The 16,735-nt window shown below is 37.0% G+C and overlaps 1 long non-coding RNA gene across 5 annotated transcripts in view; it reads left to right on the forward strand.

Annotated features, from left to right (window-relative positions):
• Nucleotides 1-333: 333 nt before the first annotated feature.
• LINC00907 (long intergenic non-protein coding RNA 907) overlaps nucleotides 334-16,735 on the forward strand; it is a 504,759-nt gene continuing 488,357 nt past the window's right edge. For all 5 annotated transcript variants that reach the window (NR_046174.2, NR_046454.1, NR_046457.1 and 2 more), the window contains exon 1: nucleotides 334-428. This is a non-coding gene — a long non-coding RNA (long intergenic non-protein coding RNA 907). The remainder of the gene's footprint in view (nucleotides 429-16,735) is intronic.

Below are 16,735 nucleotides of genomic sequence, written 5' to 3' on the forward strand. Positions count from 1 at the left end.
AGTACCAATCCGAGCGAACAAGGAAGAGTGAGTAAATCTGTCCAGCTGGAGTTGGAGGTACATTCTGGAAAATGGTGAGAGAGGCTGTGTAGGGTAGGGGGACACGGAAAGATGGGCCAAGACATTTGGAGCTGATATTTGATATGGTTTGGCTGTGCCCCCACCCAAATCTCATCTTAAATTGTAATCCCCATAATCCCCACGTGTCGAGGGAGGGACCCGGTGGGAAGTGATTGGATCATGGGGGCAGTTTTCCCCATGGAATTCTCGTGATAGTGAGTGAGTTCTCACGAGATCTCATGGTTTTACAAGCGTCTGGTATTTCACCTGATTGCACTTCTCTCTTCTGCCTCCTAGTGAAAAAGGTGCCTGCTTCTCCTTCTGCCATGATTATAAGTTTCCTGAGGCTTCCCCAGCCATGCGTAACTGTAAGTCAATTAAACCTCCTTTGTTTATAAATTACCCAGTCTCAGATAGTATCCTTATCGCAGTGTGAGAATGGACTAATACAATATTTAAATCAAAGGGACTCACTGATGTTTCTCAAAAATAATATAAGAGGAAAATATAGGTGGTGGTTTAGTGTCCATCTACCTGGCCCCTAGGGTTGAGCCTGGGAAGCCAGGCCAGGAAGGGTTAGCATAACCATCTAGGCATGATTTAATGGGACTGACCTGTGATAGTGAGGTGGAGAGAATAGGCAATGTGACAGTGAAAAATATAAATGAAAACCAACAGGACTCCATCACAACAGAAAGAGGACTTTCCAACCTGCAGGGGAGAAAAAGGTTGTGCCTCTGGCCATCAGGAGCATTAATTGTAATGTCTCCATTTCAGCCAAACTGCTGTGCACACACATGAAGCCTGGGCCCCCTTTAACAGCAAGGGGTCTGTTGTTCCCCTCCTTGTGCAGGTGGGTTCAGCTAGTCAAATCGAGGTCTTGATGTAGCCTGGGGCTGCCACTCTCTGTGGAGCCGGATGGGCCTGACGGGTAGACAGGTGCTGGTGGTGATATAGGAGCCTCGGTGGTCTGAGATTTAACAGTCCTGGCTTTCTGTGTTTCAGACTTTGGGGCTCCCTGGCCACTTGCACTAGGTTTAAGGCACAAATTTGAATTGTATGTGCTGAGAGCCAGGTGTAAAAGTTCTGGCAGTGATGAGCTTGAGTGTGGACCTAGCTGACCACCTAGCATTTGCATCTCAGAATAGCTGAGGGTTTCCTTTCTTATCATTTTACTGTACATAGTAACTCTTATTGAAGGTCTGAAGGGGCACTGAATTTTTTTCTTTTAGAATTTTCTGTATTTTATGTCAGAAACGATATGCTAAACTATGATTTGTAAATCTAGGTAATAATAAACATCTCTGAACATATTCATGAATATGAAAGAAGCAGTAGAATCATGTTGGGGCCTGAGCCTGTTCAGTCTAGGTGTTGCCAAGATGTGTGGGAGGGGAGATGTGGGAAGAGGCAGGGCAGATGGCAGTCAGGGATGCAAGGTCAGGAATTCTACTAAGCTGGAGAGTGGGCAGGCAGCTTAGGAGAATGGTAAATCAAGAGGAAGAGAGTTTCTTTGCCTGCAGCTGTAGGTCTAGAGCTACCTTTTATGGCAGCGTTCACTCATATAGGTAAGATAAGTGAGGGGCCAGCAACGGCTCCTTTGGAGCCAAGATTGGGCCCCTGCCATTGATGAGTTTTCTGAGCTAGTGACAGAGGCAGTTCTTCTTTCTCAATGTGGCCTGGGGTTTTTGAGGCTGTCAGAGAGAAACTGAATTCTTAAATCCCCAGGGCCATCACTGTCTTATTTGGTCCCTGCAGCTGGGGCTGAAGGCTCTGAAATGGGGCATGTAACTAGGGCTCCTATTCCCCTTAGCAGTCATTTTCACACTTGCAAAAAATGATGTATTTTCTCAGGCGGGTATGTGGCTGCCAGTAGCAGCCTTCAGCTAAATGAAAGCATTTTCTTGGTCTCTGGGGAACCAGATGCTGACAGATGGACTTCCAGGATTTAAAATTTCCTAGGTTTGTTATTTGAACCTAACAAAAGAGAAAAATCCATCCTGGATACAATTAGAGCATTTTTTTCTTTGTCTTACCCTCCCACCCCCAGTGAAATAGAGAAACATGAAGGACATACTTTTTAGTGCTGTTATTGGTCATTTTAAGCTCAGTGTGGGTGAAATGATATCTGATAACAAATAAGAAGTTTGTGTGTGTCCTTTCAGCTCTCCGAAAAGGTTATAATGTCATGAGTATACTCTGTGCAAGAAGGAAATTCTCAGTATATTCAAATAAAGGACAATTTTACTGTGATACATCATGCAGTTAGGCTTCTGTGCAGGCTAGAAGCTCCCAGAGGAAAGCAGTTTCCGAGCAACTACCACTGACTGGGAAGGGCACTTTGACCCTGAGGGGTATAGCAGAAGAGTGTACACATTTTCATTATACAGCTTCATAAACAGGGTGTCTTTCCTATAGGTATGTGGTAATCAGTTGTGAGCTGTGTCCTCCCAATCTTGTTACTAATAAAAACTGGTATACTTTTAAAATTAACTTTGTTGACTTATATTTGCCTACAGTAAAATTTACTAATTTTATAAGTGCAATTCGATGAGTTTTGACAAATGTGTACAGTCTTGTAATCTCTACCATAACCAAGATTTAGACTATTTCCATCACCCTAAAATGTTCCCCTTTGCCATTTTATAATCAATCTCCTCCATTCCCTCTACTCTGTGGCAACCACTGTTCTGATTTCTATCACCATAGTTTTGTCTTTGTTTCCCCTTTACTGTGTTTCTGAACTTACCTTCTAGGTAATTACCACACTGTTTCTATAACTATACTGATATTACTTATCCCGTTTTTGCCAAGTCTTTGACTTTAGAACCACTAAGTCTCTTTAAAGTAACTTGTAGGTTTCCACTTTGATCCATAACATGTGATCCATACATGATTGTAGTTTAATTCTCATTTCCTCCCCACTCCCCAGTTTCTTAGTTGAGGGTACCTCATTGTCACCTTTATTTATACTTCAAAAGTTGTGAAAGGAGATCATACATATGCTGGGAGGCAGGGTGGGGTCAAGAGGAGGGGAAAACTAGCAAGAGGCTGAGTGGAGAAGTAAGTGTGGCCTCACAAGAGGGGCGAGCATCACTGATGGAGCAGATCCTGGAGGAAGGAAGATGGAATATGCTATTGGCCTGTTGACAATTGGTGGGTGGGTAAGGGATGTGATAAAGACACATCTTCCTAGACAGCAACTCAGGATAGATAGATATTGTCAACAGGTTAACCTGGAGGTGAAGAAAATGCCAGCAAGTCATGTGATGACAATGACTAGAATGGATAGTCAGGGATGCTAAGGAGTGTGCTGGAGGTTTACAGATACTGGAGTAGATGTAGCACAGCAATGGCTTAGTTTAAAGAAATAAATTGCTAAGGGGTATAGCAGATCAGTCAGAGTTGTGGGAGAAGCTATAGGGAAAGGAACAGGCCTTCTGAAAGGTTGGAAGGCTCTGCATAGCTTTAGAGGAGAATAAGCTGAAGGCAGCTGTTCTCTGACCTTGATGCAGAGGGTGAAGAAATAGGTACAAGGGTGTGTAGGGGAATTTATCTTAAATAGGCTTGTTTACTTATGTTGTCTGGAAACTGACGTTTGATCATCTGCATGCGTGACTGCTCCCTGAAAGGGGGAACAATAATGTTAATTACCTGCAGATTGTGTTTGCTCCAGGCTTTAGACATTATGTCTGTACTGAATAAAAGCAAGCAGCTCCAGCTGTTCAGGACGACTCACTCTTCTGCCACTAGTGCTGGGCAGTCCCCTAGCTGCTCTTACACTGCATACCTGTGTCTGAGTACTCCTTTCATCCCTCACTTGGCCAGGGTCTATGGGACAGACCTGGCAAAGGGGCATTCAGGGGACAGTTGCTCCTTTAGGTACCACTTGGGTACCATTTTCTGTGGGTGCTTCTTTGGTCAGGTGGATCCTTAGTCCTGCTCAAATAAATTTTTTATTAAAATTTTTTCACACCTAAGGAAAAGTTTCCAGAATATTACATTGTACTCCCATATTCCTTCACTTAAATGCAATCCGTTGTTAACATCTTGCCACATTTGCTTTATCTCTTTCTCTTTTACATAAAACATCCACAATATTTATTCTCATAACTATTATAATCTTGATGATTATTATATTATTATCATCTTGCTCTACCATTTGAGAGTAATTTGCAGAGGTCACGACTCTTCATCCCTTCAGCATACAGCTCATAAGAACACAAACCTTTTCTTTTTTTTTTTTGCTTACATAACCACACAGTAAAATTCATCAAATTAAAAAAATTAACATTGATACAATGGTACTACCTAACACATAGTTCATATTCAATTTTGTCCAATTAAAGGGGCTTGCATTTTAAATGATTTTCTTAGAGACCAAAATAGATTAATGACTCAAGAAATGATGCTTTTGTGGCCAAGAAACAGGAAAAAATGCTCACATCACCAATCATCAGAAAAATGCAAATCAAAACTAAAGTGAAATATCATCTCACACTAGTGAGAATGCTATCATTAAAAAGTCAAAAAACAAGGCTGTGCTCAGTGGCTCACGCCTGTAATCCCAGCACTTCGGGAGGCCGAGGTGGGTGGATCACTTGAGGCCAGGAGTTCTAAACCAGCTTGGCCAACATGGCAAAACCTCATCTTTACAAAAAAATATACAAATTACCTGGGTGTGGTGATGCATGCCTGTAATCCTAGGTACTTGGGAGGCTGAGGAGGGAGAATCACTTGAACATTTGAACCTGGCAGAGGTTTCAGTGAGCCAAGATCACACCACTGCACTCCAGCCCAGGCAACAGAGCAAGACTCTGTCTCAAAATAAATAAATAAATACAAATAAATAAAATGGAAAGTCAAAAAACAGCAGATGTTGGCGAGGCTGTGGAGAAATGGGAATGCTTATACACTGTTGGTGGGAATGCAAACTAGTTCAGTCACCATGGAAAGAGTTTAGAGATTTCTCAAAGAACTTAAAATAAAACTATCATTCCAGCCAGCAATCCCAGTACTGGGTACATACCCAAAGGAAAATAATTTATTCTATCAAAAAGACACGTGCATTCGTATGTTCATTGCAGCATTATCCACAATAGGGAAGACATGGAATCAACCTAGGTGCCTACCAACAAGGGATTGGATAAAGAAAATGTGGAACATATTCACCATGGAATACTGTGTAGATTTAAAGAAGAAAATCGTAATATGCAGCAACATGGATAGAGCTGGAGGTCATTATACGAAGTAAACTAACACAGGAACAGAAAACCAAATACCACGTGTTCTCACTTATAAGCAGTAGCTAAACACTGGATACACATGAACATAAAGATGGGAACATTAGACACTGGGGACCACTAGAAGTCAAGGGAAGAGAGAGAGGCATGGGCTAAAGAACTATCTGTTGGGTACTGTGCTTACTGCCTGGGTGACTGGATTACGGGGACTCCAAGCCTTAGCATCACACAATTTAACCCCATGTAACCTGTGTGTGTGCCCGTTAATCAATAATAAAAGTTGAAATTAACTTAAAAAAAGAATAAAAACACAAAACAAATCAATGTATTTGTAACTATTTGTAATAAACAGTTCATTGCTCTATTAAAAATAATGCTTTGGGGAGCACTAATTGATGGGGGTTGCTATTTGAGAGCAGAGGGGTAGCTATTGACCACATTTGAACTAGTCTTGTAGAAAGTGTGCAAAATGTGTTTAGGTGACCTGAAGTATTTGTATATTGGTTAAAAAATCATTTGCCTATTTTTCATTTTTTATTTTCAGCTTTAGGGACCCTGCTGGTACTGAGTGAACAAGCCCAGGCCATTAGCTATTTGGAGCACTTCATCTCAGCACCATTTCTCTGGCGACTTGTAACAGGCAGGGCTATACAAAAGAAAATCCTTTTTACTACCCCAATTCATATCAATCAAAGACCAAGGAAAGGCTCCTAATATCTTTTTAAAATGTTTTCATTTATCTTGGAGTTTACTTGTCATAAAAACCGCATGTTTAAAGTGTCCATTGGGTGTAAATGGTCCCATAAACTCTTGTAACTGAGTGACACGTGATAATGAAAGTAGCTTCACAAAGAACAACAAAATAGATCTCTTTTTTATTGTAATCATCAAATAGTGTGCCCCAAGGTATTGATTGAATTATACATAAAGCTGATATGGAGCTATAAAAAGGATGATAGCATGCTGCTTCAAAACAAACCACAAACAGATTAGCCTTTGAGAAATAACCTTAATTCCAACAACATTCACAACCTTTGCTGGATGAATCACAAAACAAAAATATTTCTGGAAGAAGATATTTCCTGTATATATGTAAACTAAAAGTGCACTCTGAGAAATTTTATCAGCCAAAAGGTAGAATTGTGTATTCAAACAAGGAAGAGACATATTTACTTATGAGGCAAGACTAAATACACAGGAGAATATCTGGTATCTAATAGTCCAGGTGAAATCCAGAGTTTCACTTTTTGTGGTTTCTGAAGTCAACCACAATCTAAAAACATATGGAAAATTCCAGAAATAAACAATACATACGTTTTAAATTGGGCGCCATTCTGAATAGCATGATGAAATTTCCCATTCTGCCCAGCACATGAATCATCCCTTTGTCCAGCATGCAGGCTGTAGACACTCACTGCCCATTAATCACTTAGGAACTGTCTGGGTTATCAGATCAGCTGTCATGGTACTGCAGTTTCTGTGTTCAAGTAACCTTTATTTGACCTAATGATAGCCCCAAGCCACAGTAGTAGTGATGCTGTAATATTATTATAATTATTAGTTATTGTTGTTAATCTCTTATTGTGTGTAATTTATAAATTACATTTTATTATAGGTGTGTAAGTATAGTAAAAAAGTAGTATATACAGGATTCATTACAAGCTGTAGTTTCAGGCATCCACTTGGGGTCTTGGAATGTATCCCTCTTGGATAAGAGGGAACTACTGTATCTTGATAAGATGCTGTAATGAAGTTGTTAGTATTCAGAGAAGCTCAAGTTCTGGAAAAATCTAGGGAAGACTTTGTGGAGAAAGGTGGTTTGACCTGGGTATCTGCTTTTATATATTTTCTACCTGAAATGTTAAACTGTTTTAAAGAAATAAATTATTTATTTTCTTTGAATTTTCCAGTTTAAATTGATTGAATGGTGGACTGGGCAAGATATTGGAATTTGGAATTCTGTTTTTTGTGTTTTTTTTTGTTTTTGTATTTTTTTTTTACTGGTTCATTTCCCTCCAGATAAGGTAACTCTTTAAACATCCTTATCTGCAAGGAATATTGTGGAATGGAAAACATACTATTACTCACATTTTTCTTCAGTTTACATTTTATTCTTGTGATGTGCCCCGTGTTTTTTTGTCTTCATGCCTCTGCTCATGTATTTTATTCCTGCTGGAATTCACTTTTTCTCACTTCTATGTGTGCAAATCCTACCCTTCTGTCCTCTTCAGTGAGAAGGCTCCCCTGAATACCCTAACTGGGAATTTTTTTAGAAAATTCTTTTCTAATTCTTTCACCTTTCTTAATGTCTCTGAATACTTTTAACTGTCCCTCTCTTATCGCCCTTACCAGCTTCTATTTGGTATGGTGGGTATGAATTAAATATGCTTCCTATTCCTTCTGGCCTATAGACCTCTCAAAGAAAGAACTTGAACATATTCTTTGATGAACAAATTTTTGGTGCCAAACTTGTGAAATTATTAATGAGCATTGCAGATTCAGATTCAAAGCATAACAGTCATGTCAACTCATCTTTTCAATGAATTATTCTACAATACATTAAAAAAAATGCTGTCCTATCTGATATTTTCACAATCTGTTCTATAATTTTAAAGGTACCTTAGGGTTTTTCTTTGAAGGCAGATCCACATGTATATGGTTAATTTATTTTTTACAGAGGTGCCAAAGAAATTCAATGGGGAAAGGATAATTTTTTTCAACAAATAGTGCTGAAATAATTGGATAGCTATCTGTAAAAGAAAAAAAAAGGAACCTCAATCCTTGTCTCACACCGTATGGAAAAATTAACTTGAAATATGTTTTATTCTTAAATATGAGCTAAAGGTATAAAACATTAAAAATAAAACACAGGAAAACATCTTAGTGACTTACAGTTTAGTAAATATTTCTTAAAGACAATACAAAGGCACAATCTACAAAAATTATTGATGTATTGGACTTCATCAAAATTAAAAACATTTGCTGTTCAAAATACACTGTCATAAAAAGGATAATACAAAGGCCCACTTTGGGAAAAACATAGTAAAACATATATAGAAAAAAGAACTTGCATCTAGAATATATAAAGTGCTCATACAACTAAATAAGAGGAAGACAAAACACCCAATTTAAAAAAATGGGTGAAGAATTTTAGAGACACTTCACCATAGAAGATGTTCAAATGGCAAATAGTCATAATATTATTAGTCACTAGGAAAATACACATTAAAAGCCATAGTGAGATACCACTACACTCTGTTGTAATAACTAAAATAAGAAGACTGAGAGTACCAAGTGTTAACAACAATGTGGAACAACTGGAACTCTCCTATATTGCTGGTTGGAACGTAAGATGGTATAACTATTTTGAAAAGCAGTGTGAGAGTTTTTTAAAAAGTTAAAAATCTACCTCTCGTAAGACCTATTATTCTACTCTTGAGTATTTAACCATAAAAAAAAAGAACATAGATTCATACAAAGCTTTCATATTAATTTTTATATAGCTTTGTTTTCAGTAACCCTAAATTGGAAACATCCTAAATATCCGTCAACAGTTGAATGCATAAACATATTGTGGTATAGTCATACAAAGGAATAATCTTTAGCAACGAAAATGAGTAGACTATTGATACATTCAACAACATTGCTAAATCTTAAAATAACTATGTTGCATGGAAGATGTCAGATTTAAAAATGCATACATATTGTATGACTCCATTTATATGATGTTCTAGGAAATGAGCACTAATTAGAAAAAAACAGATCAGTGATTGCCTGCAGGTGGGATGAAAAACAGGAGAAAAGAATTTCAAATAATTACAAGGAAACTTTGGAGGTGAGGATTTTGGGTTGCTTATTTTTTTTATTGTGATGGTGATTTCACAGTGATGAATGTATGTTAAAATTAATCAAATTGTATACTTTAGACATAATGCTTTTTTTGTGTGTGGGGATGTCAATTTTACTTCAATAAAGATGTTAAGAAGATTGCTCCCAAACTGATATTTTTGCAATCTGTTTTGGAGAGTCAAAGTGATCTTTTGGTTTCTTTTGGAAGGCAGATATGATATAAAGCAAATGGACTGCTGAGTTATGGAGATATGAACTTGTTACATTGGTGTGCATTTCCCAGATGAATTTAGAGACTTAGCTCCTTCTCTTCTAGAATTCTACAGGAAGGCTCCAGAGAAGGCACTGTGTAAGCTCAAGTGTGCACAGGCCTGTCTTAGTTTATATTGAGCTTTGAAACTTACTTCCTTCTCTTCTGGAAAACAAGCATGATAATAACTACTACATATGAATGATGAGAAGATTACACAATGTAGCCAAAGCACACAGCACAATGATACAGGGTCCTTCCCTTTCTTTTTCCTTTGTTTTTCTCTCTTCTGCACAAAGCCAAGCACAGGTTGCCTGTGTAACAAGTGTTCAATAAATCTTGAATCACTCACCATTGACTGTTCCAATTCAGCTGGTTAAGGCATCTAAAAGAATAAAGAATTTTCCAATCTATATTTTTAGGTCTTGGAATAAAACAACAAAAATTTTGAGTATGAGCAATTACAGCACTTGGGACAAATTTGACAACTGATATAATATTCACTAAGGTAGTTATAGAAATTTGAACCCCTGTTTCACACAAAGCAACTAGTCAAGATTTAATGAATTATTGCCTTTGAAAAACTTAAATAATTATTTTGAAAGTCCAGTTACCTGACTTGGTCAAAATTATGCAATGCATATTTCTTTAATTTAGAAAACAGGGCAAACACAGTGGCTTAAGCCTGTAATCCCAGCACTTTGGGAAGCTGAGGCGGGTGGATCACCTGAGGTCAGGAGTTCAAGACCAGCCTGGCCAACATGGTGAAAACCTGTCTCTACTAAAATAAATAAATAAATAAATAATTAGCTGCGCAAAAAATTAGCTGTGGCAGGTGCCTGTAATCCCGGCTACTCAGGAGGCTGATACAGGGAACTCACTTGAATGGGGAAGGAGGAGGTTGTGGTGAGCCAAGATTGTGCCACTGCACTCTAGCCTGGACAACAGAGTGAGACTCAGTCTCAAAAAAAAAAAAAAAAAAAAGGTTTGACTAATCAAGCAGACATTCAGGAATGCAAACAACAAATGCTTTCTTTAGACTTTAAGAGACTCTCTATATGGAATATGCCACACTGATGGAATTTCTTTCAAGCAGTTTCTTATTGCCTCCTCAGTCTGTTATGAAAGCCCAGGAAGGTACTGGGAAAGAAGGACAAGTATTCTATTTTTAAATATCTTCAATAAGGTCATAGAAAAAGTTTCCTGTTAGCCTCAGGCATTCTGAAACTGTGGTTGGCAGTTAAAGGCAGCTTGTTTTCCAGGATTGATCAGATCAGATGGAAAGTCCTTTATATACTATTAGGTAGCCAGGAAGGAGTTACAGAAAGCTGCATTCTGGGCAGAGACAATTTCTGAAAAGCTGCATTATCAGTTTGAAAAATATAAAACAACTAAATTTCTGTGAGCTACTGTGCAGTGACCACTTAAAAAGTTACTGTCATATAGAAAAGCAGCAGACCAACCAACAAAATCCTTTACAAATTCGATCTTGGTTAGCTAGTATTTGAGGTGTTCAAATAGCACTTGGGCTGAAGTTTGCATTTGTTTAGAAAATTCTTTTGTCAAAGATTGCTAATCAGATTATGTTGTGATTATAATGAAGATCCATAAACTATTCAAGCATATTAACCTCTTCAAGAATCTATATATAGTTTAAAATTTCTCACTGTTAGGAGGCTCTTAGGTTTATTACAAACCATGCAATACGATTTTATCTCACTAAATGTACGTTTGTGAGATTCAAATCACTTTTTAAGGAAGCAGGTAATTCATGAATAAATCAATGAGAAATAGGACCTTTTAGCTGACATTGTCAATTCCCTACCTACATCCCTGTGGCAATGATGCTTCATACATGACTTCCAAACTTCAGTCTACCTGCACCTGCAGCTCTGCCTGAGTGTTATCTGGCTGTTGAAGCCACTGAGCAAGCCAACATTGCCCATATATTCTCCATTTCCCTTTGGGTGGGTAGTAAATACCCACATTCCTGTCCTCATGAAGTGGGATAGCTTTGAGGCCCATGTTCTAAACTATTTTCTAGTTCCCAAGATAAATTAAGCTCCAGTTGTCTACAGTGGCAACTTTCTTGAGGACACACCCTTTGTTAGCCCTTTATTACTTCACCTCCCTACTCTCCTACCAGTTTTCTAGAATTGCCTTTCAAATAAATTCTTTATCTTCATCTCAGGATTCTCTTCTGTTGGAATATAAACTAAGACAGAACTGTGCACACAGGAGCTTACACGTTGCCTTCTCTGGAGCATTCTTGTAGAATTCACAGGCTTCTAGGAAGGGGAATTACTCCCGAAAAACTTTGTGTGAGTCCATGCTCAAGGAGTAAAGCCTTATGCTATTAAATGGGGCACTTCTGAAGAAAGAGAAAGTTAAGAAGGAGGGTTATTTCCAAAAGCCATATTTCCCCTTTTCACAACTCTTTGGGTGGGGAAGACTGACTATGGACATTAGGAAACCCCTTCACTAAATGTGGGAAGGGCTTTTGAAAGGGGCACGTCTGCTTTCTGTCTTGGCAAGTGTTGCTTGTAGCATATTTCCTGACATTTCAGTAGAGAATGCGGCTCTGTGTAAATTCAGAAGCAGCCCCAGAACCACCAATTATAGAGATAATAATTTCTGCTCAATAATATGTAAAAATGCTACTTAAAGCTAACCCTCAATTATAGCCTATAAATGATGACAAACGTATTTCTCTGTTGTGGCAGAAATTAAAGGCTTGCTTACTGCTTAAGACATGATTTATCTGATGGGAAAACAAATGAATGACAATATGTGGTCTTCCTTTAGTAACTGTATTTGCTGTGGGGTTAGCATCAGAAAAGTGGGGAAGGAGGCAGGGTAAAGAAATATGCGTATGCTGTATGGTGAAGGCAAGGCACAAGGTCTGTCCGTGGGTGAACATGGGGCTGATGAATCCATGGCCAGGAAGTCAATTTCTACTTGGATAGGTGAATTTCATGGCAAGAGAAAAACAGCGGTCCTGGAATAACAGGTAGGAATCAGAATTCCAGCTTGTCATGCCATGCAATGCAAATAACCTCTATCTTCATCTTCTTGTAAAAATATGAATTGTCAGACGGATACTTTAATTTCCAGTAACACCATGGGGTGTTCGCCTGCTTCACCCCCAACTCTAATTATAGGCTAGAACTCTTATGTGTGGATGTATTAGTCTGTTCAGGTTGCCATAATAAAATACCATAGGAATGGGTGCTTAAACAACAGAAATTTATTTTCTCATAGTTCTGGAACCTAGAAGGCCAACATCAAGGTGTGGTCAGGGTTGGTTTTTGGTGAGGGGGCTGTTGCTGGCTTGCAGATGACCACTTTCTGGCTTTATCTCCTTACATGGCCTTTCACCTGTGCTTCCGATGTTTCCTCCTCCTCTTATAGAGACATCAGTTCTATTGCATTAGAACCCTTGTGATTTCACTTAACCTTTGTTACTTCCTTACAGGCTCCATCCCCAAATACAGTCACACTGGGGGTTAGGGCTTTAACATATAAATTTTAGGGGAGGACACAGTTCAGTCCATAACAGTGGGAATTAACGGCTTAATGGTCACGGTTCTAAAAAAAAAACTTCTGTTCTTTCTTCCTCCACCATCCCCAGAGTACTAGGGTCACACAAAAATGCCTTGTACTCTGCAATCTAGAGACTAAAGAAATAAAATTTCATTTAGTGAATATTTATTCTGTGGCAGGCTATTTGGTATAATATTTTAATTCTCACACCAACTAGGTCCTATGCAACAGGTACTTTTTTATTTTCTAAACCAGAAAATTTAGGCACAGAAAAAGTTAGGTACATAAGCCAGGGTCCACACAGAAAGCTCTTGTGTTTTCTGTTTCATTACTCTGATTTTTCTCAATGCAGAATTGTTTTGATAATTGATTATGGTTTTAACTTTCTGTACTCTTCCCTGATATTTAGTTTTTTTCAATTGTTAAAACTTAATGGTGAAGCTTTCAGACAGACATATAGTTAAAGGGTTATAGGTTATTAAAGGTTATTTTCCATTTGAGATTAATTGCACATAAATGAATGAAAGCCTTTTGAAATGTATCATAGAAATCAATGAAAAAATAGCATTTATTTAACAAATGTTAACTTATAAGAAGAATTCTTCAGAAAGAAAATTTATGAAGGTAATAAAGGCTATTTATTAAACATGATGGACTTATATTTCATTCCACTTATGGAAATCGAGGATAGCTGCTGTCCTACCATTTCATTCACTCATCTATCTTATATGTATGCATGGTATTCTTTTTTTATGCAAAATTTTATGCTGGACCCTGTTCTGGCTGTACATAGTAAAGAATGTACTTGAGGTACTTTTTACTCTAGTAAAGGCAATAAAGATACCTAAAAAACTATTCAGAAAGAAGGTGCAAGATAAAAGAGCCAAATAATCCAGATTAAAAGCAATAACAACAACAATTCAATTTCTGTATCTTGTTATGTCAAGTTTTACCAAACCCCTACCCCAAACTTCATTTATATGAAGACAGCTTGGTATAACTTAAAATAAATGTGACTATAATATATAGTCACATTTATTGTGATTATATGTGATAACATATCTTTTTCAGAAGAGTAATACAACTAAAAATACGCAAATCATTGAATTCTTGATATTGAGGTTTGAAGCCTTCTTCAAGTTTATGTGAGCCCATCTCTTGCCCTTTGCAGGAATTTTTTCTCTTGCAATAGGTACTTCAGCTTCTATGTGAAGACCTCTAATGATAGATTTTTAAAAATATTCTGTTGATGCCCACCTTGAGACCATGAAGAAGTATTAATACAAGTAAAATTGACCTTCCAACTGGAAGTCTCATGTATTGATTGTAGAGGTTTTTTTTTCCCTCTCTCAGCAATGTGCTATTTCAATTTTTTTTTTTTTAATACACTCTTGTGCTCACATGGCTCTTAAGATCCTGGTCACACTCTTTAATTTTCACAAGATATTCTCAGGCCCACTGCATTCTTTTTCCATTACATTTCACAAAAATCTTCCTTAGAGGGTAATTAAGTTTTACACTGGTGACTGATATCTTGAATTTTTAGCATTCTGCTAACCATTCATATACAAACACAAATGTGCACACACACCAGCACACACAAACCACCCTACATTGACCCATTTTATAGTTTGCAGTTTAAGCTAGGCAGTAATCGATAACAATGACTTCTACTATAAGCTCACTGCCTAGGAAGATAGTCTTCTTTCTTAGAAAGGATTGTTGTGATCTACCATTCCAAGTGTTGATTTATGGTTCTTTATGCCAAAAGGAATAATATGAGTCTACTTCAAGATGGCAGCCCTATGATTATATTTTGTTTCTCTCCATTTCAAACCATCACCGATTTCTTCAATTGCTTTTTCTATGGTATGGTTTCCAAATTCTTTACCATTGTGTCTGCTTTTCTGGTTTTATTGCTTATTGATGTATCTTCTCAAAAATGGCTTCTACATATGACCCTAACCCTGACATTTTGTGATCCCTGAGTGTGGTTGTGATATTGTTATCTGCTTTCAAAATATGACACTTCTACTAATATAGGCTAAGACTACAGAAACTGCAACAAATTAGCATCACATAATTGGTTGATAATTGGGCTTTTAGTCAACCTGAAATTTTCACTTGAACTCTGGCTAAATTAGGTATTGGTCATTATTGACTATATTGTCTTTGGTGAATTCCCTAACCATCCTTTAGCCTCAGTTTCCTGAATATATCTATCTTACTAATTGTTACAAAAGATGAAGGAAAAATGCATGTAAAGTGTCAACTCTTGCCTGAAACTTAGTGTTTATTAATTAAATAATTGTTGTTATATTTATTCTAGCTATCAATTTCCAAATAATGGTGGAATATAGTTTAAGGATAAAAATCTCCCCATTGTATGAATTTTAAATTAAACTTTCAACATCTAGGTCTATCAAATTCTATTTTTAACACATAATTGATAAGCAATTTTATATGCATTGACTCACTTGAGTGGTATAAAACCAGTGAGATAGAAGTGACAGGTATTATCATATCCATTTTGTAAAGGAGGAAATAAAAGTTCAGAAAGGTTAAGTGACTTGTCCATTATTCTATACTTTCTAAGTATTTAAGCAAAATATCTTTGATTTTGTTATATTTTAGTGTGGCAAAATAAAATATATTTTGTTGTTTATGGAATTTGCAATAATGTCCAAAAGCTAATTGTCCAGTTAAATATATTTTTATTGCCCAGAGTTAAATGAATTTTAAAAATACATAAATTATCCCAATTTATAAGTCTAAGAGAATAGCTAACTTCATTTTAGCATATTGTTTTCTTTCCATTTTCATTGGTATACAATCATATTGTATGTAATTATAGAAATTGTACATTTCTGAATCTAAATTTTTAGTTAATAATGTTATAAATATTTTTCCTTGTAGTTACATAGAGTTCATTGCTATTGTTTTTTAAAACCTACATAATATTTTATTGATTTTAATAGTTTACTTAATTTTTTCAAAAAATATAGGTTAGATAATGCTGCAATGACTATTTTAAAGAATATATTATTTTCTTAATATAAATTACCTGGAATGATTAGGTCAAAAAGTAGGAATATTGATCAAATTGATATGGATCAAGTTACATGTATTTATGTTGCATTTCAAAGTCTTTATATGCCAACAATGTAGACATGGCCTAAGTTAGACTGAGTTCTAATAAATTGTTTTGTAATAATTTTGCTAATTTTGATATGAAATGCTATTATATTTTTATTTTTAATTAGTGGTAAACTGAAATATTTTTCCATATTTTGGACATTTCTTCAGAACTCCCTCATAACCTTTGTCAATTTACTTTTTAATAAATTGCCTGCCAGACATTTCTGAATCCCAGTGATGGATAAAGCTGAGGGTGCAACTTGGACTCCTGATGACACTGTAATTAGAGATAAGATTGAGTATCACTAAAGGAGATAGTTCTCCATATCTGTTACACTGGTTGTTTTTTTTTTTGGAGGCCTCTTGTGGGTAGGGCTCAGGTGAACGCCAGCAGTGTCCCTGGTGTGGTGGGCCCTCCTTCCTCTTGGCAGTGGGAAACATCTCAGCCATGCACACTGGGCATGGGCTCTAGAAGAGGGACCTCACCCTCTTTTGCTTTCCTTTACTTTTATTTAATTTTATTAATTTATTTGTTGAGACAAAGTCTTGCTCTGTCGCCCAGGCTGGAATGCAGTGGCAGGATCTTGGCTCACTGAAACCTCCACCTCCCAGGCTCAAGTGATTTTCAAGCCTTAGCCTCCAGAGTAACTGT

Source organism: Homo sapiens, chromosome 18, assembly GCF_000001405.40.
Source record: "Homo sapiens chromosome 18, GRCh38.p14 Primary Assembly".
Lineage (NCBI taxonomy): Eukaryota > Metazoa > Chordata > Mammalia > Primates > Hominidae > Homo > Homo sapiens.